The sequence below is a fragment of the Homo sapiens genome, chromosome 5 (assembly GCF_000001405.40).
Source record: "Homo sapiens chromosome 5, GRCh38.p14 Primary Assembly".
NCBI classification, from domain to species: domain Eukaryota; kingdom Metazoa; phylum Chordata; class Mammalia; order Primates; family Hominidae; genus Homo; species Homo sapiens.
Window position 1 is genome coordinate 177,292,724 of NC_000005.10, and position 23,073 is coordinate 177,315,796.

Here is a 23,073-nt window from a genome sequence, read left to right on the forward strand (position 1 = left end):
ATACATGAGAAAGCTGCTCAGGTGGATGTGGTACCCAGGAAATTTGTAGTTGAAGAAATTGAGAACCTTTGAGTAGTGATTTGGGGTTAGAGAATTTTAGGGATTTGGATATGCCATCTATTTTAATGAACAAAAAAGAGAAACCAGTAGGGAGCCATTCCAGGGTGAGGAGATTATACATTACTAGTGACCTGCTTCCAAGAGTTGCAGAACGTTAAGAACTTTAGGGTATAAGTAAAAGGAATTTGTCCCCAAATTGGCTTTCCTTCACTGTATATTGGCCAGGGTCATGAAATAAAAGAAACTGAGGTAGGATGAGGGCAAGGCCATCACATTGACCTGTCAGCACCAGGAAGTAGAATTGTTTCAGAATCAACTGCTCAGGGTCGTCACTGGCGCAGGCTATGATAGAACCAATCTTGCCTGTGTGCCAGGAGTGGGAGCTGGTGTAGTTGATTTGAAGGTGGAAACACTGTCCCTGGTCAAGACCCTCAGGTTTCATGAAATGTGGGGAGGCAGGTAAAAGCTTAGGTCAGCTTTGGGTCTTTTCTACTGATTCCATGTGAACAACATATAACGTGCTGTGCTGATCTCAAGACTTAAAATAGAGCAAAGGTAAATCTTCCATTTTTCATGATTTTATATCTTTTCTATTACTGTTAATAGCAAATAAGCAGGAATCTAAATCACCAGGATATTTCTCTTTGAGTTGCTTATTTAAAAGCTGTATAGTACAAATGGAGATTGCAAAAATATAAAAGTAATATCTTAAGTTTCATGTAAAAGAAACTTTTTGTTGTCCCCACCCCCGCCCCCCCCTCACCTCCTTGCTGGAAATAGTCATAGAAATACCAATTTACTCTTCTGCTTGTATATTTAGTTGATAGTAGTTGCTATTTGATAATTCGCTGTTACTTTATGTATTCTGTGCACAAAAAGAAGCTGGAATTCTGGGGCAAGAGGTGGCTGGTGAGTGGCATAAGCTCTCTGAAGCAGGGACAGTGTGAAGGAAGGTCATCATCCACACCTTCGGACTGTAGCATAGCCTTGGCCCATGTGATATGTATCTCTTTTTTCCTAAACTTTTGATTTACTTCTGTGTTTTCAGGGAAATGGGAATGTCCGTGGCATCAGTGTGACATCTGCGGGAAGGAAGCAGCCTCCTTCTGTGAGATGTGCCCCAGCTCCTTTTGTAAGCAGCATCGAGAAGGGATGCTTTTCATTTCCAAACTGGATGGGCGTCTGTCTTGTACTGAGCATGACCCCTGTGGGCCCAATCCTCTGGAACCTGGGGAGATCCGTGAGTATGTGCCTCCCCCAGTACCGCTGCCTCCAGGGCCAAGCACTCACCTGGCAGAGCAATCAACAGGAATGGCTGCTCAGGCACCCAAAATGTCAGATAAACCTCCTGCTGACACCAACCAGATGCTGTCGCTCTCCAAAAAAGCTCTGGCAGGGACTTGTCAGAGGCCATTGCTACCTGAAAGACCTCTTGAGAGAACTGACTCCAGGCCCCAGCCTTTAGATAAGGTCAGAGACCTCGCTGGGTCAGGGACCAAATCCCAATCCTTGGTTTCCAGCCAGAGGCCACTGGACAGGCCACCAGCAGTGGCAGGACCAAGACCCCAGCTAAGCGACAAACCCTCTCCAGTGACCAGCCCAAGCTCCTCACCCTCAGTCAGGTCCCAACCACTGGAAAGACCTCTGGGGACGGCTGACCCAAGGCTGGATAAATCCATAGGTGCTGCCAGCCCAAGGCCCCAGTCACTGGAGAAAACCTCAGTTCCCACTGGCCTGAGACTTCCGCCGCCAGACAGACTGCTCATTACTAGCAGTCCCAAACCCCAGACTTCAGACAGGCCTACTGACAAACCCCATGCCTCTTTGTCCCAGAGACTCCCACCTCCTGAGAAAGTACTATCAGCTGTGGTCCAGACCCTTGTAGCTAAAGAAAAAGCACTGAGGCCTGTGGACCAGAATACTCAGTCAAAAAATAGAGCTGCTTTGGTGATGGATCTCATAGACCTAACTCCTCGCCAGAAGGAGCGGGCAGCTTCACCTCATCAGGTCACACCACAGGCTGATGAGAAGATGCCAGTGTTGGAGTCAAGTTCATGGCCTGCCAGCAAAGGTCTGGGGCATATGCCGAGAGCTGTTGAGAAAGGCTGTGTGTCAGATCCTCTTCAGACATCTGGGAAAGCAGCAGCCCCTTCAGAGGACCCCTGGCAAGCTGTTAAATCACTCACCCAGGCCAGACTTCTTTCTCAGCCTCCTGCCAAGGCCTTTTTATATGAGCCAACAACTCAGGCCTCAGGAAGAGCTTCTGCAGGGGCTGAGCAGACCCCAGGGCCTCTTAGCCAATCCCCGGGCCTGGTGAAGCAGGCGAAGCAGATGGTCGGAGGCCAGCAACTACCTGCACTTGCCGCCAAGAGTGGGCAATCTTTTAGGTCTCTCGGGAAGGCCCCAGCCTCCCTCCCCACTGAAGAAAAGAAGTTGGTAACCACAGAGCAAAGTCCCTGGGCCCTGGGAAAAGCCTCATCACGGGCAGGGCTCTGGCCCATAGTGGCTGGACAGACACTGGCACAGTCTTGCTGGTCTGCTGGGAGCACACAGACATTGGCACAGACTTGCTGGTCTCTTGGAAGAGGGCAAGACCCCAAACCAGAGCAAAATACACTTCCAGCTCTTAACCAGGCTCCTTCCAGTCACAAGTGTGCAGAATCAGAACAGAAGTAGTACCAATCAATGTCACATGAACAAACAAGCTGCCCCCAGGGTACCATTTGGGGAGGGGAAATCTTTTCTTTCTTTCCCCCTTAAAAAAAAACACATCTGCCCCGAACACTTTCCCACTGTTATTCTTTCCTCATATCCCAACACTCAGAACTCTTGTGACATTAGCCAGTGGGGGCTTATGGTTGTGTGAACCATGTATGAAAATCCAGTGGGCCCCAACCAAGGAGACAGACAGACTTGGGTCTCTTTCCCCCAACTTTTCCACATGGTCATCGTGAAATAAAAAGTCCACTCTGGAGTCAAGTATGGAATTCAATTCCGCTGGTCAGGTTGGAAGGTATAGGGGCTCTCAAAGCGATTTCCCCAACCAGACAGAGCCCCATTGAGGGCACCTAGGAACCCTTGGGAGGAAATGGTGTTCTTTCAAATCAGTGGCGATTTCCTGAGCATTCACGTGTTCTAGGCCGGGTGCTAGTCACTGATGAGAGATACAGGCCTCATCCCTGTGAGCCTGGATTCCAAGGCTTTCAGGAACCTTTGACCAGGAAGTAACAGGAAGTTCTGAGGGGCCCTGGGGCTTTAGACTCATTTTGAAATGTCCTTTGTGGCACCAGAAGTGGTTGTGTTGAGGAAGTGTCTCTTGGCTGCGGTGTGCATGGGTGCGTGTGCATGCGCGCACACTCACAGAGGTCTCCTCTATAGATGCAAGGGTGCTGCATTGAGGCCAGCAAGGCTGTTGGCTGTGGGGTCGCCGCTGCTGCTTTTGTCTGGGCTGTGCAGAGTCTCAAGATCAGTCCTTGGAGGAGCAGGTGGTCAGGGGCAGTCGGGCTCTGTGCGAATGTAGATTTCCAGCAGTGGAAGAAGGCATTTGGCAAGCTTCTCTTTCTTTGCTTTTGTTTCTACCTATTTTTCTCTTTGTACATGAATCCACCCCATCCCTATTTCCCTAAAACACTCAGGTGCTTTCAGATTTCAGAGCCTCGGGCAGTGGACATAGGGAATCTCTGGCAAGCTCTGAGCTAGACACACCAGCTTCAGGAAGAGTACCAGATCCTGATGGGAAATTTCTTTTCCCCATTCCTTTTCCCTCCTGAGTGGAGGGAGTCCTCTTCTTCGCCTCCCTGAGAATTGCTGTGCTCTGTATTGAGAGCACCTGCCTGCTGACTTAGCTCAAAGGCAAGCCAGAACCCTTCCCTGAAGACTGGCAAGAGGTGGTGTTTAGAGCAACGTCCAGGCTAAGAGATGACTCCTATTAACTGCTGATTATCTGTTACTGCTGCCCTGAGCTGGGGCCCAAGGGCTGGGAAATCTGTTGGTGCTACCCTGCCCTACCATTCACCCAGCTCACAGACTGCCAACAGGAAGTGCTGTTTGGCTAGTTTCCTCCCACTTGTCTACCCCTCCTTTGTCCTTAGACCAACATGTTTACCTCTCTGCTTTGCCAACTTAGCCAGCAGGCCATCCCCGGCCCTAACGTCTCCTGGCCATTATCTCTTAGTTATGGCTTTCACGCTCTCAATAGGATTCTGTATTTGGTCCCAATTTCCTCAAGTTCTTATTGAGGTTACTCCCATCAATTCCACGGAGGGAACAGTAGTTATTATAGAAGCATTTGCGCTTTATCTAAAGATTAAAAATAGAATCTGCTTTTATTTCCCAAAGTCTGTCTCTGAGGTTGAGACACTTGAACTCAGGCAGAGGGACGAGGCTGGGCAGGGCTGTCCTGAGTTTAGGGGCCTATCCCTGCATTTCACTGAGACCTCGGAATCTCCTCTGTGAATTCCACCTGCCTAGTTCTCCCCTTTCATCCTCTCTCTCTTCCCACATCATCAAAGAGGAAAAGCTCTTTGTTCAAAAGGAAGAGAAAACGTAAAGCATCTTATTTTCTTTTAAAAGAATTTTAAACCATGAAAAAGATATTTTTAAAGAAATTCACCGAGAACATTAAAGTTCATTATATTAAGTATTTATCATGTGTGAGAATAATAAATATATAACTGCAGCTAGTAGGTCCCTTTCCCTAATCTTTTAGGTCATATGAGTAGGGTTTGCTTGGTGCCAGTCCTGTGCCCTTTTCTCTCCAGTCATCTGTAGTTGTGATCAGAAAAAGGTATCTGCACTGCACTGTCAGAGTCTCCTTTCACTATGTTGTGTGTTAAATTACCGTAGCTCTTTGTTTCATGAAATAAACTGTGAATTTGGGGGGGGCGGGGGGAGGGCGTGCAGGCCATGTAAAAATTTTCCGTGGAGAAGTTTGATTCTAAAGTAGCTTCTCTAAAGTAGGCTTTGGTAGGTAATCAACTTGACAGCAGTCTAGATGTCTCACAGGACAGGAGGGAGTGAGGGAAAGGGGCCATGATTGGCTGCTTTGTGGTTTTATTTTGGTTCTTTCCATTCTCCGCCATTCATTGGAGGCTTCGTTCCAGACCTGCCTGGGAAAACAGCTTCTGAGCCATTTTGGGGAGCAGTTCTTCATCTGAATGGATGGACATCTGGGCTTCCTTCAAGGGCCATTGAATGGGAACTAGAAAACCACTGGAAACTAGAAATTTGAGCTATTGGGCCCACCAGTAGCAGCATGTGATACTAGATGGTTAAAATCATGAAAGCAGTCACTATCCAATTAGAAGCAGAGTCACAACAACTGTTGGGAAATGTGACTCTTGGAGGAAGGTGGGGAGGGAGTGGCCTTGCCAGCCCTGTGGGACGTCCCCTGAAGTTTGTAATAAGACCCCTTTTCCAAAGGGATGTGAATTGGAGTGAAAAGGAAATCTTTCATCTTAGAAAACTTCTGGTCCTTAACGCAGGGTGGTATTTGGGTATGTGCTTGGAAATTGAGATCTCAAGAGTGTTTGCCTTGGAGCCAGCTCCCCAGGAGGCCTTTTCCAGGGACAAGGCAAAAGTTGAAATTCTCCATGGGTAGCTAGAAAGCCAATACATCTAGCCCTGCTAAGTCAGAAAAAGATTATGAAAAATGTTGAAATTTACATTCAAAGCCTCATTTGCTTATCTTGCTGGAGCCAACCCAGTCTAATAGCAAAATAGCTGTCATTGATACAGAAACATCCTCATTTTTAAATGTCTGCTTTACCCTGTTACTGAGTTTGAGATGACTTAAATCACTGTGTTGACCCTCTTCTGAACCAAATCTTTAGCATTGATGAAAATAGTTATTTTATTCTTTACATCCTTCACCCCACACTATGGTCAGGGCATGAAACACCCTGTTGATCCCTTCCCAGGCTCGGCACTGTCTGCTCACTGGAGCCGGACTCCCAGGTTGTAATTCTAATGTTGCCTCATGAGAACAGAATGGCAGAAAGTTTAGTCCTGACAGATTCCCCCATAGGGAGTAATGAGGACAGCATGAAACTTGGATAGGTTTTACCCTTAGTCCCTATAAGGTGGATTTTACTAAGGTTTTTTAAATGATACTGTCATCCTCTTGGGGTTTATCAGCCAGGTTAGAGGAGCCCAGTGTCCTAACCTCTCTCAGATCATGGCAGAGAAGGAGCTGCCTCCAGCCCCTTTCTTGCTGAGTTTCATTTGAGCAGTTCCATGTGTAGACATTCCAAGTCACTGCTTGGTAGTTGCTGTGGGAGCCTGTCATTGGCTATGGCCAGTTAGTTCTCAGCTGAGCTTCCTAGGGCCAGTGCAACAGGGCCAGAGGCTGCTATAGTGTAAATTGAAATAAGAATAGATCATTGTTTTGTACACACACACAATAAAATGTAATGATGGTGCTAATTTCACGGTATAAATAAGCACTGCCAAGGGTTGAGGGACTGGCAGCTCAAGAAACCCGGGTTCCTGTTTGGGAGGAGATTTTATGTAGAAAAGTTTGAGGCTTTGTTAAAAGTGGGGAGAAGGAAGATCCTCAGTGAAGCCTGCACCCAACCCTGGAGTGGCCCAGTGCAATCCAGAGGTGGAAGAGATCCTATATCCAGGTGAAGGTGGCCATTGAGTTTCTCAGGGCTGGGGCCACCTTGTCCATAGCCTCCGTCCACGCTGCCTGGAGCAGGTTGTTAGAGAGCTCTGGTTGTTGGGTCTTCCTCAGCTCCCTTCTGCCCCTCTCTACCTCTTCCACTCATGGAAGCCCCTCTACTGCTTATGAAGATTAAGGGTAGTATTTTCTAAGGAAGTGGAAAGAATTAAACTAGAAATCCACAACCTCGGAAGAAGTGTTTCGAGTTTAACATGCGCTGTTTCTGCTTATGTGGTTCCTTCTCTAGAGCTGCTTTCCCATGGCTTTCAAAACATCAGGTTATTGTGGGGCTTCAGGTGTAAGGTCCTGGAAGTTCAGCAAAGTTTCGTGGACAAGACATGGGCACAGAGAGTAGAAGCAGAAATAAATGGTTCTATGTTTTCAACTTCCAGGGTTGGGGCAGGCCAGAGCAAGGCGGTCTCATCGAGGTGGGTGCTACCTGTGTGTGTGTAGATGAGTGTGCTGAAGGTGGGGAGGGCAGCACACAGCAGCTCATGGCAGAGCCGCCTCCTAGGTCTTGGCAAAGAGGCAAGCTGACGATAGACATCTACCTATATTGTTAAGAAAGGGGTCGGGGGGATCAGCCAAGGTCCATCATTGCTTTTTTGCCGCGCCCCCCCCCCCCCGCCCCCATAGATTGTCAGCTGTAAGTGAAACTCCTAGTGAAAAAGAGGGGAGCCCTGTGTTAGGAGTCCCCATAAACATGTACTGTAATTCTTTGTATATAGAAAAAAAATTTACTGTAAAGTAAAGTTTAACTTTACTCATATATGGCCCTTGCCCTGTGTTTTGTTTTATTGGCTGTGGGGAGTTGTAGTCTAACAGGAGGGAGGATTGTTTGGGGTGAGAGCAGAAGCCAGCCCCAGAGATAGTACGAGGTGGGGGGCGGGGGGCGCAGGGATACTGTGAAGCTAAGCCCTTCCTCCAAGCACGTCATGGGAATAGTGTGTTTCCTCTCAGCAGCCACAGGGCTGCCCAAGCCTCTTTCTCCCTCTGTTGGGAGTGGCTGGTTTCAGTTTCAGTCTCCCTCCACAGGAAGCCCCCATCACTCATGAAGGAAGGGCAGTTTGAGGAATTGGTTTTTAAAAAGGAAGTGGAACCAAAGCACTCTCTGAGTGTGAGTCTGACCATGTTGGCTAAGTTGTACATTTTTCCAAGGCAGGTGTTGGCCACTGCAGAGGACTCAGCCCAGGCCTAAATAAAGGCAGGAAAGCAGAGGCAAAGGATAAAACTAAGGGAAAGCCCCTGGCCTGGGGCCACACCCTCCATACCAGAAAGGGCTGCAATAAATTTCCTTCTGGTTGAGCAGCAAGTGTCAGCCCTGTTTACAGTTAACACCTGATTCCTCAGAAATATCTGGATCTTCTTTGGGGAAAACTTGGGAGTTTGCTTCCCTTTGTGACCTAGTCCTGAACTTCCTGCCCTTTCAGCAAAAAGTGCTTGGGAAGATTGGGAAAAACATTTAGTACTAGAGTTACTCTTCACTTTCTTCACAATCCTTGGGCTGCATAGTAGTCACCTTATTTTACAGATGAGAAACTCAAGATGAGGATTTAAGTCCCTTTTCTAAATTAGCAGCTGAATTGGAACCAAATCTGGATCCATTAGACCTTTCTGGCTTACAGAACTTAGGACTTTCCTACCATTAAACCACATTGTAGGATGTCACTGGGAAGCTCAGGACCTGAGTCACAGGTCTGACATAGGGGCCCAAACATGACAGATGCAGTAGAGCTAGTCAGACCAACCTGTCTCAGGTAGGAATGCTTGACCCTTTTATTTCGAAGCAACTCATGCACTCTTTTCAGCACTCAGAAGGAACTGTGAGCTTTTATACTACTACAGCCCCAGTATCTCAGCGGTAACCATGGGGAAAAAAGTCTTGTTTTCCAAAGGAAAATGAGAGTTGGGAGGAGCCTTAATATAAGCAGTGAGGCCAGCCGGGTGGCCCCAGGAAGAACTAGGTGTCTTGACACCTAATCCACACAGCAGGGAAAGGGGCTGGGTGTGATGCACAGTGCACTGATTTTATTTACAGATCAAAAGCCACTTAAATAATCTGCAGACACAAGTGCTGTCCAGGGCAGAAGCCTGGGGTCCAAATCAGCCTTATCCCTCCTCATGCCCACAGTCAGCCCAATGCTGTCTCCGTTCCATGGGCCAGCACAGGCAGGCGCCACTCTGCTGACATGAGGACCTGGGGTAGCTCAGACATTTGACTACCCAAGCCCAGAAAGGAGCTGGGTCCAGCCCTTACGGGGAATTCCTTTAATTCCCCCAGGCCAGGTGAGTGCTGACTCAGTGATGACAACAGCTGTAGAAGTAGGGGTTTGGCTTCTGGCCCAGATCCACGCCCTTGTCCTCTGTCAAAAAGAGAGGTGGCAGCTCAGCACCATTCTGTTGGGATCAGGTAACTCAGGAAAGGGGCTAGATGCTGTGGGCCTAGAGTAAGTCTCCATAAAGGCTGGGGAAGCACACACCTGTCATCACCTGGAAGGCAGCCACACTGACGTAATCCTCTGCCACTTTCTGGAAGAGCTCGTCTGGCAGGAAAAATGATGATCAGCGAGGGCCCAATGCCAGTAGCCCTGGGATCTCCCAGTGACCCAGCCCTCTGTGCCCTATTCAGCTTCCTCTGGTGCCCCTGCATGTTCCTGCTGTGAGGCTCCAGCACAGCACTCACCCACACTCTGGCCTGTCTTGCTGGATGTTTCAAAGAGCTGAGCTTTGATATCTGTAAAGAGAAGTGACTAAAGCCTCATACCTGAGAATTAGATAAACAGACAAAAGGGAGGGCTAGCAGTTCAGGGAGTCTCCTGGACCCCACAGTTCAAGGAGGCCAGGAAGACCTCCTAGAGCACCTTGCCCTGGCAGCCAAGGCAGTCCCTATTTTCTTTGATCCACCCAGACAGCCACACACCCCCACCCCCCAAAGGGCTGAGGAGCAGCTACTGTCTGCATAGTCCTGGACGTCGTGGAAGTCCACACGTCGACGCCTCCGGTCTTCTTCCAGCAGGTCACTCTTGGTGCCACATAAGTAGATTTGGCAGCCCTGAGGCAGAAGACAAGGGTCACCTCCACAGGCCAACAAAACCCCAGCCCCTAGTGTTCTAGTGAGGTCTGTTCACCTACCTCCTCTAGGCTGCGCAGTTCCTTCACCCAGAACTTTGCTCGCTCAAAGCTGCTGCTGTCTGTGAGGTCTTGGTGTGCGGCATGCAGGAGACAACCAAGTGGTCAAGGGCTGTTCTCTGGCTAGCCTGGCACCCATCTTTTCTTGTGAGACAGCCCAAACCCCCCCCCCCCTTACCATAGCAGACGATGGCAGCCTTGGCACCCCGATAGTAGATTCTACTCATGGCCTCATAGCGCTCAGAGCCTGCTGTGTCCTAAAGAGTAAGGCCTGAGTCAAACTTAAGGCCACGTTCTCCAGACCCCGCTATTTTCCAGATAAGGAAACGGGTCTATGAGAAATGGGTCTGTGAGGCCACAAATCAACCAGTAATAGGCAGGACCTACACCTCCTCAGGAATGAGTCTCCCAAGAATAGATGGCCGGGGGACTTACCCAAATACCTAATGTCACAGTCCGGTCTCCGACCGACATCACCTTGGCCACGAAGGCGGCCCCGATGGTCTGCAACGAGAGGGAAGAGATCGGGGCCATAGGTGCAGATTACCGGCCCCCCACTCCCCCGCCCACCGTGCCTGGCCCCTCCGGATGCACTCACGTTCTGATAAGGCCCCACCAGAAAGCGGTCGTGCACGTAGCGCTCCACCAGGCTAGTCTTGCCCACGTACTCCTTGCCCAGCATCACCACCTTGACGTCCACGCGCTGCCCGCTCATGCTCCCGGGGCCGCTTCAGCCACGTCAGGGTCCTGAGCGGGGACGGGAGGCAAACCCCGATCTCCGCTCGGCCCAGGCAGCGCCCAAGCCTCAGACCCCGACCCCAAACGGCGCCAACCTACGACTCCAGACAGCGCGTCGGGCTCGAGCTCTGGCCGTGGCCTTGCACTTCGGCAGCGCCCCGTGTGCCCCCGCTGTTCGGCCCCGGGCGCCGATTATCCTTCGAAGACCCCAAGCCTCGGGGCGGCCTGGGAGCGCGCGGGACAGCGTCCTCAACAGCGCAGCACGCCGCCGTGCAGCTCGCTACTCCGTCATTCGCTCGCCTGCCCGGCTTAAGCTCCGTTCTGGCTGGGAATCCCAACCGAACCTGGGGTCTCCCGCAACCCGGCTCCTACCCGCAGCGCCGCGACTCCCGCGGGAGGGGGCTAGAGGGCGAGGGGGCGGGGCCGCAAGGTCACGTGGCGCGGGCGCCGGAAGCGGTGGCTACTGTGTGGCTGCGCCGGAAGTGGCGCGCGGCCGGACAACTCATGGCGGCGGCGGCGGCGGCGGCAGCTGCTTGGGCGCGGTGCGGTGGTGACTGAGCTACGAGCCTGGCGGCGGGTGTGCGCCGAGCCCCGGCCCGGCCCGGCCCTCGCGTGCCTCCCAGGCTCCGCACCCCTGATGCTGCGCGGGTGCTGAGCCCGCTTCGGCCGGGACGATGGTGAAGTATTTCCTGGGCCAGAGCGTGCTCCGGAGTTCCTGGGACCAAGTGTTCGCCGCCTTCTGGCAGCGGTACCCGAATCCCTATAGGTACGTGGTATTTGGAAGAGCAAAACCGCGCCATCTCGCTATCTGGAGATCGAATTATGGGTAACCCCCAAGTACTGGGACCAGGAAGGACTCGATATCGAATCCTAGGTAGACCTTATCGGGGAAGCGGCCAGGCCAGGCCTGCAAGGTCCTGAAGGGAGGTTGGGCCTGGGTGGTGGTTTACTTGAGACCTTAGTGTAAGATTCTTTTCTCAGTGTGGTGAGACAAGAAGAGGCGGCAGTATGGGAGTTGGGAGGGATCTTGGAGTTGGAAATCCTATTTCTCTGCCCGTGGCGCTTTCCTGGGGTGCAATAAATCATGAGGTCCATTCCTGCTAGAAGGCAGGAATCCAGGTCAGTCAGATGGCGGGAGTGGGAATTTGCCCTGGGATGGGCCCTTAACTCTGGTTTGAACCATAGCACATACCACCCTGCAAGGTTACGGGAAGGCGTGGCCTCTCTAGGCCCGGAGCCTCCAAATGGGAATCCCCTCGGGCAGTCTCTTAGGGGCAAGCTTCTGAGGGTCACCTTCACCCTGACACCTGCAGCAAACATGTCTTGACGGAAGACATAGTACACCGGGAGGTGACCCCTGACCAGAAACTGCTGTCCCGGCGACTCCTGACCAAGACCAACAGGATGCCACGCTGGGCCGAGCGACTATTTCCTGCCAATGTTGCTCACTCGGTGTACGTCCTGGAGGACTCTATTGTGGACCCACAGAATCAGACCATGACTACCTTCACCTGGAACATCAACCACGCCCGGCTGATGGTGAGACACCTCCTGTTGTGATTCTGCACCTCCCCCTCTCCCCTCCCCCCGAGATAGAGAGCTCCTCAGATACATGTGGCTAGAGAGCCATAAGGCAGCTTTTGTGGCCGGAGGCAGGTCTGGGTTACTGAGGGTTGACAGCTGTAGAGTATGACCTCAGGTTTTCTTCTTTTCAGCTGGCCATCCTCTCTGGACCTGTCCTTTGACTCATTCATACAGTGGGGGAGGGGTACCTATCTTACGGAGTTGTCCTAAGTTCTAAATGCAAAGCGCTCCCATCTGGCATCTATGGCACAGATATATGTTGGACTCACAGGAGTGATGCTGAGTGGCGGAGGCAGTGCTTTTCTTTTTTTTTTTTCTGTTTTTTGTTTTTTTCTGGTGACAAGAGTCTCACCCAGGTTGGAGTGTAGTGACATGATCTCACCTCACTGCCACTGCCACCTCCTGGGTTTAAGCAATTCTCGTGCCTCAGCCTTCTGAAGAGGTGGATTTCTAAGCACACACCACCACGCCTGGCTAATTTTTGTATTTTTAGTACAGACAAGGTTTTACCATGTTGGCCAGGCTGGTCTCGAACTCCTAACCTCAAGTGATCCGCCCGCCTCGGCCTCCCAAAGTGCTAAGATTACAGGCGTGAGCCACCGCGCCGGGCAAATGTTTTTATTTGGACTGTCAGGAAGCTCCAGAGCTGCAGCTGGTGGAAGGCGGCTAAAACACTGCATGCGTCTAGATGCACAAAACAAAATCCAGGAGCAGGATGGGCTGGAAGGCCCTTTGTTGATCTCAAGAGAGAGACCTTTTGCCTTCTAGTTTAAGAGTCAGAAGAGAGGTTTTCGAGAGCAAAACGACCTTATTTATGGCTTCTTGTTCTGTCAGTGCCACTTGGAGGTGCAGTCAGGGGAAGGAATGGATTTTCATTGTATTGCTTCGCCTCATGAAAAGTGACAGGGAGTCAGATTTATGTGCAAGTTGGCAAAATGAAAGACTGTTCCACGATTGTGGTTGGCCTCTGCATAGGTGGTGGAGGAACGATGTGTTTACTGTGTGAACTCTGACAACAGTGGCTGGACTGAAATCCGCCGGGAAGCCTGGGTCTCCTCTAGCTTATTTGGTGTCTCCAGAGCTGTCCAGGTGAGCAGTGTTGTTGGGGCTGCTGGGGCTCTGGGACCCAGTGCTTTCGGTGTTGGGGCTGGGCTGGGGTCAGTGGGCAACTCAGTATCCTTCCCATTCTCATCTCATGCCAGGAATTTGGTCTTGCCCGATTCAAAAGCAACGTGACCAAGACTATGAAGGGTTTTGAATATATCTTGGCTAAGCTGCAAGGTGAGTTTCTGGGTATGTGGATATTCCTCATAGGGAGAGGCTCATTCAGCCTAGCGGGCGTGGAGTCTGGGTTAGTCATTGCCCTGCTCTGAGCTGGGACTCCTTGTCTGTACTGGGGGTGGGAGGAGGGTGAATACCACCTTTTTAGTGGAGCCTGGCCCAGAGGAGATTGGTGTCATGGGGGAGGGAAATTAGGTTGGTCTTTCAGGCATCTTCTAAAGGCAGCCACCTGCCGTTCGCGACAGGCGAGGCCCCTTCCAAAACACTTGTTGAGACAGCCAAGGAAGCCAAGGAGAAGGCAAAGGAGACGGCACTGGCAGCTACAGAGAAGGCCAAGGACCTCGCCAGCAAGGCGGCCACCAAGAAGCAGCAGCAGCAGCAACAGTTTGTGTAGCCAGTCTACCACCACCACAGCACCCCAGACAGCTAGGCTTAGCCTCTCTGCCCTCCCTTCATTGTACTTTATCATTAAAAATCAACTTCCAGCCCTGTCTGCTGTCTACGTGGTGGGTTGTGGGGATGCAGTTTGGCATCTGCAGTACACCAAGCACATGATTCATGTCTGAGCCAGGTCTGCTTATTCTCCCATTGGGCAGCTGAGGACCGAGGCACAGAGGTGCGGTGACTTGCCCGGGGCTCCAGGTAGCCTGCAGGTTAACTGGCGGTAAGTGCTAGACTGTAAGCCCGACAAGGGCAGGGCTTTTGGTTTTGTTCTCTGATGTGTCTCAGTATCTAGCACATAATAGACACTCAATAAATACTTGTTGAATTCAGTTGGCCCCAGCTCTGGAGTCGGAAGGCTCTGGTTTGAATCTTGGCTTCACTGTTTTTGGACCTCAGGCGAGTCACGTCACTCAGCCTCATTTCTACCATCCGTGAAGTGGAGACAGAACAGCCTCAAGTTGTGAGAATTAAGTGCACTGCCTGGCACGGCCAACAGTGTCAGTGATGGGAACTGATATTATTTCCTCTTCCAGTGGGTCTGTGGTTGGGAGTTCCCCCGTTTTCATTAGGCAAGACTATGGACGGGAAGTTATGAAAGAGGCTTTTAATGAAAATACTGTACAGTTTATGTGAGGCAAAGGCAGGGGGCCTTGTCCAGGAAGGGAAGAGGCCCAAGAGGCTTCCTGTCCCCTTGGGGGCAGCAGAGCCAAATGCTTGGGCTCGGGCCCAAGCTGCCTGCCCTGCAGGGGTCCAGGGAGGTCCTGATGAGTCCTGCCCCTTCCCTTCCAGAGGGCCTGCCTGGCAGCCAGCAGCAGGGTGTTTGGGGAGCACCTGTTCCCACACAAGGGTCCTTTTAGTCCATTCCAACAGGTGACTCCGAGCAGCCCTGAAGGCTTGGGGAGGGCTCCTGCCTGGCAAGTGGGCCTGGCACGAGTAGAGGGCAGAGGCCCGCCCTGGGTGAGGAACATCATAGCCAGGCGCCGCCGCCGTGCGAGTAGCTGTGCTCCTGGCCGGCGACGAAGCCCCGCAGCAGCTCGGCCTCACCCCCAAACACCAGGCTCTCCACATCCACCTCCAGCTCCTCTGCGCGGGGAGGGGTCCGGTCAGAAGACCTGGCTCGCCCCGAGGGCCACACAACCCCTCAGCCTCGGGGCACTCACCTTGGTCTGAGTCTGAGCGCTCAGAGGAGAGGCCTGAGGAGTCCAGACTGTCCGCCCGCAGCCGCTCCCGCTCGGCCGCCCCTGCCAGCCCCCGGAGCTGCTCCAGCTGCCGCTGCAGGCTCTGCTGCTTGCTGCGCAGCCTCTCCTTGAGCTGTCGGGCCCGCTGCTCCTGATCCTCCAGCTTCTGCGGATCCCAAAGGAGCAAGGGGCTGGGGTCAGCGGCGTGGGGGCTTGGGCTGCACCCCAGCACCACTCAGTACCGGGCCACGGCCACAGGGCCAATGCCCACTCCGGGCAGGTGGCGACTAAATCCAGGCCCCAGAGGGTTGCACCCACATCCTCCAGAAAGCCAGCCCCTTTCCGGCCATGCACACGTCCTGTCAGGGTGCTGCCTAGATTGGGGGTGGGGGGGCACCACAATCTCAAAGGCATTTGGGGCCTAGTCAAGGATAAAGGACTGGAGTGCTGTGGCGTCCAGGGGTGGGAACTGGGAGCAGGGTGCACTGCTGCGTGTACACTCTGGCTCAGGAGCCAGGCATGTGCTGTCATGGGAAACAGGCCCGGTGTTACCAGGTCTCCCCGTTTCTTTTGTTTTTTGTTTTTTTTTTTTGAAACAGAGTCTCGCTCTGTCGCCCAGGCTGGAGTGCAGTGGCACAATCTCGGCTCACCACAACCTCCACCTCTTAAGTTCAAGCAATTCCCTAGTCTCGGCCTCACAAGTAGCTGGGACTACAGGGGCCCGCCACCATGCCCAGCTAATTTTTGTATTTTTAGTGGAGACGGGGTTTCACCATATTGGTCAGGCTGGTCTCAAACTCCTGACCTCAGGTAATCCGCCTGCCTCAGCCTCCTAAAGTGCTGAGATTATAGGTGTGAGCCACCGCGCCCGGCCCCCCATTTCTTTACGAGAAGCTAGCTGGAAAGTCAGATTTTTCATGTCAAATGTCTTTTGAGGGATTGACAGCTAATTTAAATTTTTAGAAAACTAGAGAACAAACAAAGGCTACCAGTCTGTAGCTCCTGGTCACGATCCCTACAAGAGCGAGAGCGTGAAGGCGTTAGCACCCTCCCTCCCATACCCCTACCTCCCGCCAAGCTCTGCCAGCCCTGAAGTTCCAAGGACTGGAAGGCCAAGGGCTCTCCCAGGCGGAGCCCTCAGTGGGCAGAAGCTTACATTCGGTCATTCAACAAGAAGGGGAGAACTGGGCCATGGAGGCGTTTGGACTGGGCGTAGAAAGATAAGAGCTGCCGAGGCAAACACAGGGAGGAAGAAACGTCAAGACACAGCAGAGGGAGCCTGGGAAGAGCACAGAGCATTCAGCTTCTGTGGGGCACAGGGAGAGATGAGGCCAAAAGAGCAGCCTACTGGCAAGTCCTGGGTTATGAAGGGCCTTGAGTTTCACAGGAAGGAAGGGGAGCAGAGGCTTTGTCCTGTCAGGGGCCACTGGTGGGTTTTCAGCAGGAGATGGGCCTGGGTAGATAGGTGTGCTGCAGAGATCATTCTAGAGCAAAGTAGAAGACAGCCTGGTGGAGGCAAAACAGGTAACAGGAAGGCTGGGAGGAGGCCGGTGAATTAATCCAGGAGAGGGGTGATGGAGCCCCAGAGAAGGAGCACTGCCCAGGTCCTGCCCACAGGCCAGCCAGCCCCTGAGGGGCACACATCATCCATCCGAGAACCAGGCCAGGCAAGCTCCGTGTGAGAAACTGGGCCACTACCCAACCAGAGTGTTACTCAGCCACAATGATGGTAATAACAGACGCCGGGCGGCAGTGCAGCTGTTCCCGCAGCTGTGGTTTATTTACTAACAGCGCATAGGTCTTTGTGTGCCACAGCCCCCAGTGCCTAGAATAGGGCCTAGCAGAACCAGTGCTCAGTAAACACTTGTCAGAGGAGATAACGCAAGCCAGGGAACTGGGCATGGGTCCTGAATCTGCCGCCCATCAGCTGTGCAACTTGTTGGCCCTCAGCCTAGCTGTGCCTTCATGTATTCCTCTAGAGGGCAGGAAAAGTCCTGTGGTTTCCAAGGCCACTTCTGACATGGCCAGGGCCACCTGGGCCTTTATTCAGCACATCCACTCCTGTCCACCAGGGGGCACTGAGCTCAGCCCCAGCAGCAGCAGGAGCCCTGGGAGGACCAGTGACTGGCGTCTTCTCAGTCCTTTCCCCTCCTGTCCCTGGAGCTGCCTCCCAGGTGGCACCAGGATAGACTGCCCATAACAGGAGGCCTTGAAGGTGAGAGGGGGAGAGCAAGGACCAACCCTCTACAGTCCCAAGGACCCCCACATACATCCCATCACAGAATTCAACAGCCATCCCCTCCCCTCAAACAGGAGGGAAGGTTAGTCCAGACAGGCTAAGTAACCTGCCCAAGGTCTCACAGCTGTGATCTAAGTGATAACAGCTGTAACAGCAACAGTGAACATTTATAGAGTGAACTCATTTAAGCCTCAACAACCCTCTGAGTTATTGTCTGCTTTTCTTCCCATTTAATGGATCTGGAAAGTAAAAGCTCAGAGAGCTGTCCTAAGTCACACAGTTCTTGAGCTCTGACCTCAGGTCTCGTTCCCCAGTCCCACCAGCCCCTCCATAGCACAGCCCTCCATACACCAGGGCAAGCCAGTCCGGGCGCAGTGGGGGGCCTCACCTGGATGTGCATCCTGGCACGGCGCAGCAGGCTCAGCGTGGTGTACCGGGCACAGTCGGCCCCCAGGGGCATCTGCTGCTTCAGCCGCTCCAGGCACCGCTTCAACTGGGCCCTCCTGTGGGGAAGAGGTCTGGAGGGCAGTGCCAGCCCCACCTTGCCGGCCACAGGAATGGCAGGGGAGGGAAGGCCAGAGGGCAGTGGCCCCTGGGGGCTGGCGCTGTCAGGGCAGGACTGGGACTCACCTGCGCTTCTCCAGTTCATTGTGCACTGACCTGCCAATGCCAGAGAGGATGAGGTGAAGGGGAATCAGCTACTGCCCATGCCCCAATCCCAGGGCCCCCAGTGGCTCAAGAGCCACTACAGATGTCTGCCCCAAACAAGTCCCCTGTGGAGAGCTCATGCTGGCCTCAGACACCAGAGTCCCCTGGCAGGGCGAGGGGAGTCAAAGACACACGGAGCCAAATGCTTAACAGAAGCCTGCCCAGGTGGGTATGAGGGCCCTAACAAGGGCGCCTGCCAGCTGGCCAGAAAGGACCTCCCAGAGGTGACAGCTAACTGCGGAAACAGATGTTTCCCAAGCCGGTACTGGAGGGAGGGGCATTCAAATAGGAGGGAACAGCATATGCAAAGGGCTGGGGAGAGGAGAGAAGAGGAGGAAGCCAGCGGGGGAGGTGAGTGGCCTGATGTGTGGGGTGCGGGAGTGCGAGTGGAAGCGGGACCCCAACTGCTGTTGGCAGTTCCCGGCACATCTAGAGGTGCTCAAGAAATAGTCCTTGAATGAATAGAAAGGTGTGAGTGTGTTTGGAGAGTGGGGAGATGGCAGGAGGGGTCTGAACGCTTCCTGGAGCGGGACACCTGGCCCAAAAGATGCAAGCAACAAGTGGGCAGAGGAGGGCCCGACCAGGGGCGGCGCCCACCCCCACCCCCACTCCCGCCGCCCCCGGCCTCCTCACCGCCCGCTGTCCTGCGCGCCAGGAGCCTGGGGGGGTCGCTTCTTCCTCCTGTGGATGGGGCCTGGACTGCGATGCGGGCACAGGGACGCATAACCATGCTCGGCCTCTGCCAGAGAGAGTCCCCGCCCGCGTCAGGCTGGGGCTGGACCTGGTCCCAGCGGCAGCCCCAGGCACAGCACGGTCAAGGAAAGGCTTTTGGCGCCAGGACCATTTCCCCCACCCGTCCCTGCTCTACCGCCCCGGGACTCCTCTCGAGTTGAGGGCGAGGCGCCCCGGGATTACTGTCCTAGGGCGGTGCATCCTTCAAGCTGGGAGCCAGGTCCAGTCCAGGCCCGTGTCAGCGAGGTCGCCGCCCGGAATTCAGCCAAGGGTCCTTCCTCACCTCTCTCACGGCGCTCCAGGAACTCGGCCGCCTGCAGCAGGACCTGGATGTTGCTGGCCAAGGGTTCCATGTCGGCGACAGCTGGCGGCGGGCCGGCCTAGGGTGCCGGCCGGAGCAAGCGGCTGCAGCACTTTTGTTACAAAGTAACTGACACGGTGCAACAAACACAGGGGCCCGCCCCGCCCCCGGGACGCCCCGCCCGCGGGAACGCCCAGCCCTTGGCTCCGCCCCTCTGGAACCCGCCACGGAGCCGCAGCCCACCCTCCGGCAGCCGCCCCGCCCCGAGTGGTCTCAGACTTTCCAGGGGCAGGTAAGGGCGCTGGCTCCAGGCCTGGCCCTGGAGCGAACCCTCAGGCTAACCGGTGCTGCTTCTTGCCCGCCTCACTCATCCACCCACGCCGGCTCATTGGCGTCTTTGATCTCAGCTTCCAGCCCCGTGCTAGTGACTAGCCCCCAACATAGCACGGCGCTCTGGGGGCCTGGTGGTCCCCTGAAAGCGCCGGGCCCAGCCGCTGCACGTGGGTGCCGCGGGGGCGGGGCCTCCGGCCGCCGCTCGCCCATTCGCACATGGCTTCTCAAGGATCGCTGTTGTCATCCTCGGGGCGGGGTCGGGGAGCCTCTGATGCCCTATTGGCTGGCGCTCTGCCCCGCCCTCTCCCGCCGCTGATCCACACGTTCGGGCGGGAAAAGAAGCAGGTTTCAAATTTGAAAACCCAAGCGATGGGGCGGGGTTGAGAGGGGAGCTGGGCCTCAATGCGCAGGCGCCGGCGGAGGGGCGGCGGACCCGGCTCCTGCCCTCCGGGGTCTGTCCCCAAGCCTGCCTGCCATCTGCCCCCGAAGGCCCCCGTGGGCCCCAGCTTCCTACTGTGTCGAATGGGAATAATATCTCGGCCCCCCTCCTCTTCTGTGAGGAAGCTGTTGTTGCTACGAAAACGTCAGTGGGGTAACAGCTTCCTCAGGCAGGCCATACCCTGGAGGCACGCGAAATGGCCTTTTCCGGGGCCTTGGGCTCTGGTATCCACGCAGTTGGGGTCCTCTCCTGTCACTGATGTCTCAGCTGTGTATGACTCAGGAGGTGACCTCCGTCTCTAAGCCTCAGGAGCCCTGCGACAGCGTTGAAGGATCAGAGCCAATGCCTCTGCGGTGCCCATGGCATGAAGGAGCCGCCCATCTCAAAGGCCAGTGCAACCAGACCGCGGCGTTTGCCTCCCAGGCAGCCCCTGCTTGCCTTACTCAGAGTCCATAAACCCTTCTTGCACCTGACTCTCCTAGCCGGCCGAAGGAGTGGCTGTGATGACTTCTAGCCTCAGCACCAGCAGGTGGGGCCACATCTGGGGACAGGAAGATGAACGCAGCTGTAGCAGGGTGGAGCATTGCTGCCAGCCACGGGCTGAGTCTGTGACTCCAGTAATCCCAAAATAGAGAGGGGAGGGAAGGTGGGAGGGATAGATGCTCTGTAAAGAGACAGTCCTGGTAAACACAAGCACATGTCAGTCAGGCCTCAGTTCCTTGGGAAAAATCTTTTTTTTTTTTTTGAGTCTTGCTCTGTTGCCCAGGCTGAAGCGCAATGGCTCAGTCTCGACTCACTGCAACCTCCGCCTCCCGGGTTCAAGCAATTCTCCTGCCTCAGCCTCCCAAGTAGCTGAGACTACAAGCGCCCACCACCACACCCAGCTAATTTTTGTATTTTTAGTAGAGACGGGGTTTCACCGTGTTGGCCAGGCTGGTCTCGAACTCCTGACCTCAGGTGATCCACCCACCTCAGCCTCCCAAAGTGCTGGGATTACAGGTGTGAGCCACCGTTCCTGGCCGGGAAACATCTTGAAGTTTCGGCCAGGCGCCGAAAAAAAATGAAGTTTCTCTAAGAGTTGCTCACAGCGGAATAACTGCCCTGTCTAGGCAGACGATCCATCTACCCAGCCGCCTGTCCTTAACTCACAAAGTATTTGCTGAGCTCTCACTGGACACCAGGCGCTGTGCTGGGGGCTGGAGGACATACGATAGGCAAAATCATACAGGGTCCCTGCCCTTGCAGAGCTCATAGGCTTGAGAGGGAAAGACACCAATACAGTCGCAGGAAGGCGGAGGTCCAGCTGGACAGGTCCTCACAGGGAGAGACCATGCCCCACAACACATTCTAAGGAACATTTGACCTAATTGGTGAGGCCAGAGAAGGCTTTACTGGGGAAATGGATGAAGAGGTGTTATCTAAGTATAGGAGAGATGAAAGAATTCTAGACAAAGGAACAGCACATGCAAAGGCCCTGGGGCTGAAAGGAGCATGGCAGGGGCGGTGTGGCTTACAGAGAGCAAATAGCCTGGTGCAGGCTGACACTGGAGAGGCTGCAGGGCCCAGAACATGCTGATGGGTTCCCCCAAACTCCCCCCTGCAATCAGCCATCTCTGAAGGAAGGAGCCGCAAGGGTTGTGAATGAATTTCCAATTTTATTTCACTAAAGTCAGCACCATGCAGTGCAGACACGAACCTACTCAGATGTCTGGGCCCTAGGTGGCCTGGCCTCCAGTCTGGGTGGGATAGGGGTGGGGAGGTTCTGAAGGAGGAGAATTTTCAGCAAAGGGAAAGAAGGAAGCATATGTGAGCTGAAGACATGGCCAGGAGGTGGTGGGAGTCGGGGTGGGGCTGCAGAGGGGCTGGAGGGCTCATGTCAAGGAGTTTGGACTTCATCCTAGGAGCTGCAGAGCGGTTTTGAGCCAGGGACAGCATGTGGGCTGGGGTCAAGGCCACCGGCCAGGCCAGACAGGAACAATACCTCCCCAGGAACAGGATGGGACGGGGCATGGGGGGATCCAGCCTGGACCAGCAGGGATCCTGCCCCAAGCCCTTGGATGTCCCCTGGGCCCCTGTGAGAAAATGCTAGAGCTAGTGGCCTCTAGGCACAGGACTGGACAGAGGAGCTGCAGTGCCCCCCCAGCAGTGACCAGCCCAGATCCTCTGCCCTGGAGTCCGCAGGGTCCTGCGCTTCGCCCTGTGACCTCCTGCCTCCACCAGCCCACTGTAACTGGGGTTCTGCTGCCTGTACTTGCAGTGCAGACTCTACCCGGGTCTATGGTCCTCTGGGCTCCAAGGACAGAGTCTGCATCTGTGCCCTGAGTGGAAGGGGAGAAGGGAGACCCCCCCGCCCCAGGCCTTTGTCCCAGTTAGGACCCCTTGAAGAGGGGAGCCAATCCTGGGCTCACCGTCCTCCTCCACTCCATGGACACTCCATGGTGCAGGAGGAGATGGCCCTGCGTTCCCCAGATCCCTTTCCCCTTCTCCCCTGCAAGGAAGAGTCATCGGGGGAGTCGGGAGCCTGGCTCCGACCCTGGAACCCTGCCCAGCCTCCTCCCTGGGCTGCCCGCAGCCTCCCCTCTCCCAGAGAGCAGCACTCCCCAGTCACAGAGCTAACCAGGTCACGCCCCCACTGAAGGCCTCATGCCCCCGCTGAAGGCCCACGCTCCCATGGCCTTCAGGACAAAGTTTGAGCTGGGCAGGGGACATGCCATGGCCTTGCCCACCTCCCTGCCTCTGCCATCTCTGCTCAATGTCACTTGCTCCAGGAGGTTCCCAGGCCTCCCTCCTTCAGCGCATTCTCCCAAGTAGCAGTGGGCCCTGCATCTCTCAGGGTCAGCCTCTTCCTGCAGACTACGACCTCAGCGACAGAGCAAACCAATGCCGAACAGGGGCTTGGCCAAGCCATAGGCAAGGGGTAGGGAAGGGCTGGTGGGCCTGTGTCTCCATGCCCATAGGATGTCAGAAGAAGCAGTCAGCAGACCCCCACACAGAGGCCACCTCTGGAACGCACCCCCCCCCCCCGCCAACCCCAGCTGTTGTGGCAGTGCAGCATAATGATCAGGAGTTGGGTGCCAGCCGGTCCCTCGCTTGGTGTCACAGGGGCTAAGCCAAGAGGCCAGCCCTGGCTAGACAGGTCTCAGAAGTGCCTGGCAGCCCCTGCTATCCGGGGAGGAACACTGCAAACAGGCCTCTGTAGGCTCAGTAGTATGGCCATTTTTTTTTTTTTTTTTTTTGAGGTGGGGT

At 54.4% G+C, this 23,073-nt stretch overlaps 4 protein-coding genes across 22 annotated transcripts in view, besides 25 other annotated features; 2 read left to right on the forward strand and 2 right to left on the reverse strand.

The window, feature by feature from the left end:
• Positions 1–7,490, forward strand: part of NSD1 (nuclear receptor binding SET domain protein 1) — a 168,416-nt gene extending 160,926 nt beyond the window's left edge. For all 12 annotated transcript variants that reach the window (NM_001409301.1, NM_001409304.1, NM_001409305.1 and 9 more), the window contains one exon: positions 1,109–7,490. In NM_001409301.1, coding sequence (NP_001396230.1) covers positions 1,109–2,736 — 1,628 coding nt within the window. In that variant the 3' untranslated portion in view covers positions 2,737–7,490. The remainder of the gene's footprint in view (positions 1–1,108) is intronic.
• Positions 2,977–3,478: an enhancer, noted in NCBI's record as "H3K4me1 hESC enhancer chr5:176722701-176723202 (GRCh37/hg19 assembly coordinates)". NCBI's record gives its function as "activates a minimal SCP1, AML or CMV promoter by ChIP-STARR-seq in primed H9 embryonic stem cells {active_cell/tissue: H9 hESC(primed)}" and the evidence as "EXISTENCE:reporter gene assay evidence [ECO:0000049][PMID:30033119]".
• Positions 3,479–3,978: an enhancer, noted in NCBI's record as "H3K4me1 hESC enhancer chr5:176723203-176723702 (GRCh37/hg19 assembly coordinates)". NCBI's record gives its function as "activates a minimal SCP1, AML or CMV promoter by ChIP-STARR-seq in primed H9 embryonic stem cells {active_cell/tissue: H9 hESC(primed)}" and the evidence as "EXISTENCE:reporter gene assay evidence [ECO:0000049][PMID:30033119]".
• Positions 7,647–7,756: an enhancer, noted in NCBI's record as "active region_23694". NCBI's record gives its function as "activates an Ori minimal core promoter by ATAC-STARR-seq in GM12878 lymphoblastoid cells {active_cell/tissue: GM12878}" and the evidence as "EXISTENCE:reporter gene assay evidence [ECO:0000049][PMID:35858748]".
• Positions 7,647–7,857: a biological region, named in NCBI's record as "ReSE screen-validated silencer GRCh37_chr5:176727388-176727581".
• Positions 7,664–7,857: a silencer, noted in NCBI's record as "fragment chr5:176727388-176727581 (GRCh37/hg19 assembly coordinates)". NCBI's record gives its function as "represses an EF-1alpha promoter that drives an FKBP-Casp9 reporter gene in an ReSE screen in phorbol 12-myristate 13-acetate-treated (for megakaryocytic differentiation) K562 erythroleukemia cells {active_cell/tissue: K562(+PMA)}" and the evidence as "EXISTENCE:reporter gene assay evidence [ECO:0000049][PMID:32094911]".
• Positions 8,475–10,996, reverse strand: RAB24 (RAB24, member RAS oncogene family). Of its 4 annotated transcripts, NM_130781.4 has the most exons (9): positions 10,684–10,996; positions 10,449–10,597; positions 10,286–10,354; positions 10,029–10,107; positions 9,854–9,921; positions 9,674–9,773; positions 9,405–9,455; positions 9,202–9,264; positions 8,475–9,084 (listed from the first exon to the last, which is right to left on the reverse strand). In NM_130781.4, exons 2-9 carry the CDS (start codon positions 10,563–10,565, stop codon positions 9,020–9,022), a joined length of 612 nt encoding a protein of 203 aa, NP_570137.2. In that variant the 5' UTR covers positions 10,566–10,597; positions 10,684–10,996; the 3' UTR covers positions 8,475–9,019. The 4 variants fall into 4 exon arrangements, 2 of the variants coding, with proteins under 2 accessions (NP_570137.2, NP_001026847.1); NR_109789.2 differs by having other exon boundaries at positions 9,405–9,773; NM_001031677.4 differs by having other exon boundaries at positions 10,449–10,996.
• Positions 8,687–9,886: an enhancer, noted in NCBI's record as "CDK7 strongly-dependent group 2 enhancer chr5:176728411-176729610 (GRCh37/hg19 assembly coordinates)". NCBI's record gives its function as "activates an origin of replication core promoter dependent on BRD2, BRD4, P300/CBP, MED14 and CDK7 cofactors, with strong dependence on CDK7, by STARR-seq in HCT116 cells {active_cell/tissue: HCT116}" and the evidence as "EXISTENCE:reporter gene assay evidence [ECO:0000049][PMID:35650434]".
• Positions 9,060–9,119: an enhancer, noted in NCBI's record as "active region_23695". NCBI's record gives its function as "activates an Ori minimal core promoter by ATAC-STARR-seq in GM12878 lymphoblastoid cells {active_cell/tissue: GM12878}" and the evidence as "EXISTENCE:reporter gene assay evidence [ECO:0000049][PMID:35858748]".
• Positions 10,887–10,956: a silencer, noted in NCBI's record as "silent region_16677". NCBI's record gives its function as "represses an Ori minimal core promoter by ATAC-STARR-seq in GM12878 lymphoblastoid cells {active_cell/tissue: GM12878}" and the evidence as "EXISTENCE:reporter gene assay evidence [ECO:0000049][PMID:35858748]".
• Positions 11,007–11,086: a silencer, noted in NCBI's record as "silent region_16678". NCBI's record gives its function as "represses an Ori minimal core promoter by ATAC-STARR-seq in GM12878 lymphoblastoid cells {active_cell/tissue: GM12878}" and the evidence as "EXISTENCE:reporter gene assay evidence [ECO:0000049][PMID:35858748]".
• Positions 11,007–11,928: a biological region, named in NCBI's record as "NANOG-H3K27ac-H3K4me1 hESC enhancer GRCh37_chr5:176730775-176731652".
• Positions 11,051–11,928: an enhancer, noted in NCBI's record as "NANOG-H3K27ac-H3K4me1 hESC enhancer chr5:176730775-176731652 (GRCh37/hg19 assembly coordinates)". NCBI's record gives its function as "activates a minimal SCP1, AML or CMV promoter by ChIP-STARR-seq in primed H9 embryonic stem cells {active_cell/tissue: H9 hESC(primed)}" and the evidence as "EXISTENCE:reporter gene assay evidence [ECO:0000049][PMID:30033119]".
• On the forward strand, positions 11,076–14,226 carry PRELID1 (PRELI domain containing 1). Of its 2 annotated transcripts, none has more exons than NM_013237.4 (5): positions 11,076–11,354; positions 11,902–12,127; positions 13,148–13,261; positions 13,375–13,453; positions 13,699–14,226. In NM_013237.4, exons 1-5 carry the CDS (start codon positions 11,263–11,265, stop codon positions 13,845–13,847), a joined length of 660 nt encoding a protein of 219 aa, NP_037369.1. In that variant the 5' UTR covers positions 11,076–11,262; the 3' UTR covers positions 13,848–14,226. The 2 variants fall into 2 exon arrangements, with proteins under 2 accessions (NP_037369.1, NP_001258757.1); NM_001271828.2 differs by having other exon boundaries at positions 13,732–14,226.
• Positions 11,197–11,336: a silencer, noted in NCBI's record as "silent region_16679". NCBI's record gives its function as "represses an Ori minimal core promoter by ATAC-STARR-seq in GM12878 lymphoblastoid cells {active_cell/tissue: GM12878}" and the evidence as "EXISTENCE:reporter gene assay evidence [ECO:0000049][PMID:35858748]".
• Positions 11,567–11,666: an enhancer, noted in NCBI's record as "active region_23696". NCBI's record gives its function as "activates an Ori minimal core promoter by ATAC-STARR-seq in GM12878 lymphoblastoid cells {active_cell/tissue: GM12878}" and the evidence as "EXISTENCE:reporter gene assay evidence [ECO:0000049][PMID:35858748]".
• Positions 11,777–11,826: an enhancer, noted in NCBI's record as "active region_23697". NCBI's record gives its function as "activates an Ori minimal core promoter by ATAC-STARR-seq in GM12878 lymphoblastoid cells {active_cell/tissue: GM12878}" and the evidence as "EXISTENCE:reporter gene assay evidence [ECO:0000049][PMID:35858748]".
• Positions 11,847–11,906: an enhancer, noted in NCBI's record as "active region_23698". NCBI's record gives its function as "activates an Ori minimal core promoter by ATAC-STARR-seq in GM12878 lymphoblastoid cells {active_cell/tissue: GM12878}" and the evidence as "EXISTENCE:reporter gene assay evidence [ECO:0000049][PMID:35858748]".
• Positions 12,057–12,126: an enhancer, noted in NCBI's record as "active region_23699". NCBI's record gives its function as "activates an Ori minimal core promoter by ATAC-STARR-seq in GM12878 lymphoblastoid cells {active_cell/tissue: GM12878}" and the evidence as "EXISTENCE:reporter gene assay evidence [ECO:0000049][PMID:35858748]".
• Positions 12,137–12,206: an enhancer, noted in NCBI's record as "active region_23700". NCBI's record gives its function as "activates an Ori minimal core promoter by ATAC-STARR-seq in GM12878 lymphoblastoid cells {active_cell/tissue: GM12878}" and the evidence as "EXISTENCE:reporter gene assay evidence [ECO:0000049][PMID:35858748]".
• Positions 12,776–20,029, reverse strand: MXD3 (MAX dimerization protein 3). Of its 4 annotated transcripts, NM_001394986.1 has the most exons (7): positions 20,008–20,029; positions 19,038–19,167; positions 18,656–18,761; positions 17,945–17,974; positions 17,703–17,817; positions 15,058–15,241; positions 14,487–14,980 (listed from the first exon to the last, which is right to left on the reverse strand). In NM_001394986.1, the coding sequence occupies exons 2-7, from the start codon at positions 19,105–19,107 to the stop codon at positions 14,865–14,867; spliced, it is 621 nt and encodes a 206-aa protein (NP_001381915.1). In that variant the 5' UTR covers positions 19,108–19,167; positions 20,008–20,029; the 3' UTR covers positions 14,487–14,864. The 4 variants fall into 4 exon arrangements, with proteins under 4 accessions (NP_001136407.1, NP_001381915.1, NP_112590.1 ...); NM_001142935.2 differs by lacking the exons at positions 14,487–14,980; positions 20,008–20,029 and adding an exon at positions 12,776–14,472 and having other exon boundaries at positions 19,038–19,175; NM_031300.4 differs by lacking the exon at positions 20,008–20,029 and having other exon boundaries at positions 19,038–19,175.
• Positions 14,720–14,799: an enhancer, noted in NCBI's record as "active region_23701". NCBI's record gives its function as "activates an Ori minimal core promoter by ATAC-STARR-seq in GM12878 lymphoblastoid cells {active_cell/tissue: GM12878}" and the evidence as "EXISTENCE:reporter gene assay evidence [ECO:0000049][PMID:35858748]".
• Positions 16,840–16,909: an enhancer, noted in NCBI's record as "active region_23702". NCBI's record gives its function as "activates an Ori minimal core promoter by ATAC-STARR-seq in GM12878 lymphoblastoid cells {active_cell/tissue: GM12878}" and the evidence as "EXISTENCE:reporter gene assay evidence [ECO:0000049][PMID:35858748]".
• Positions 16,980–17,029: an enhancer, noted in NCBI's record as "active region_23703". NCBI's record gives its function as "activates an Ori minimal core promoter by ATAC-STARR-seq in GM12878 lymphoblastoid cells {active_cell/tissue: GM12878}" and the evidence as "EXISTENCE:reporter gene assay evidence [ECO:0000049][PMID:35858748]".
• Positions 17,276–18,142: an enhancer, noted in NCBI's record as "H3K27ac-H3K4me1 hESC enhancer chr5:176737000-176737866 (GRCh37/hg19 assembly coordinates)". NCBI's record gives its function as "activates a minimal SCP1, AML or CMV promoter by ChIP-STARR-seq in naive H9 embryonic stem cells {active_cell/tissue: H9 hESC(naive)}" and the evidence as "EXISTENCE:reporter gene assay evidence [ECO:0000049][PMID:30033119]".
• Positions 18,400–18,599: an enhancer, noted in NCBI's record as "active region_23704". NCBI's record gives its function as "activates an Ori minimal core promoter by ATAC-STARR-seq in GM12878 lymphoblastoid cells {active_cell/tissue: GM12878}" and the evidence as "EXISTENCE:reporter gene assay evidence [ECO:0000049][PMID:35858748]".
• Positions 19,150–19,329: a silencer, noted in NCBI's record as "silent region_16680". NCBI's record gives its function as "represses an Ori minimal core promoter by ATAC-STARR-seq in GM12878 lymphoblastoid cells {active_cell/tissue: GM12878}" and the evidence as "EXISTENCE:reporter gene assay evidence [ECO:0000049][PMID:35858748]".
• Positions 19,460–20,029: a silencer, noted in NCBI's record as "silent region_16681". NCBI's record gives its function as "represses an Ori minimal core promoter by ATAC-STARR-seq in GM12878 lymphoblastoid cells {active_cell/tissue: GM12878}" and the evidence as "EXISTENCE:reporter gene assay evidence [ECO:0000049][PMID:35858748]".
• Positions 20,250–20,309: an enhancer, noted in NCBI's record as "active region_23705". NCBI's record gives its function as "activates an Ori minimal core promoter by ATAC-STARR-seq in GM12878 lymphoblastoid cells {active_cell/tissue: GM12878}" and the evidence as "EXISTENCE:reporter gene assay evidence [ECO:0000049][PMID:35858748]".

Excerpts from the sequence above, each read along its gene's own strand:
- RAB24 (NM_130781.4), bottom strand. The coding sequence starts at position 10,565 with ATGAGCGGGCAGCGCGTGGACGTCAAGGTGGTGATGCTGGGCAAGGAG. Across the intron at positions 10,355-10,448 it reads TGGTGGGGCCTTATCAGAAC|ACCATCGGGGCCGCCTTCGT; the intron begins GTGAGTGCATCC and ends CTCTCGTTGCAG. Across the intron at positions 9,774-9,853 it reads AACTGCGCAGCCTAGAGGAG|GGCTGCCAAATCTACTTATG; the intron begins GTAGGTGAACAG and ends CTTCTGCCTCAG.
- PRELID1 (NM_013237.4), top strand. The coding sequence starts at position 11,263 with ATGGTGAAGTATTTCCTGGGCCAGAGCGTGCTCCGGAGTTCCTGGGAC. Across the intron at positions 12,128-13,147 it reads TCAACCACGCCCGGCTGATG|GTGGTGGAGGAACGATGTGT; the intron begins GTGAGACACCTC and ends GCCTCTGCATAG. Across the intron at positions 13,454-13,698 it reads TATCTTGGCTAAGCTGCAAG|GCGAGGCCCCTTCCAAAACA; the intron begins GTGAGTTTCTGG and ends CGTTCGCGACAG.
- MXD3 (NM_001394986.1), bottom strand. The coding sequence starts at position 19,107 with ATGGAACCCTTGGCCAGCAACATCCAGGTCCTGCTGCAGGCGGCCGAG. Across the intron at positions 17,818-17,944 it reads AATGAACTGGAGAAGCGCAG|GAGGGCCCAGTTGAAGCGGT; the intron begins GTGAGTCCCAGT and ends TCTTCCCCACAG. Across the intron at positions 15,242-17,702 it reads GTGCCAGGATGCACATCCAG|AAGCTGGAGGATCAGGAGCA; the intron begins GTGAGGCCCCCC and ends TGGGATCCGCAG.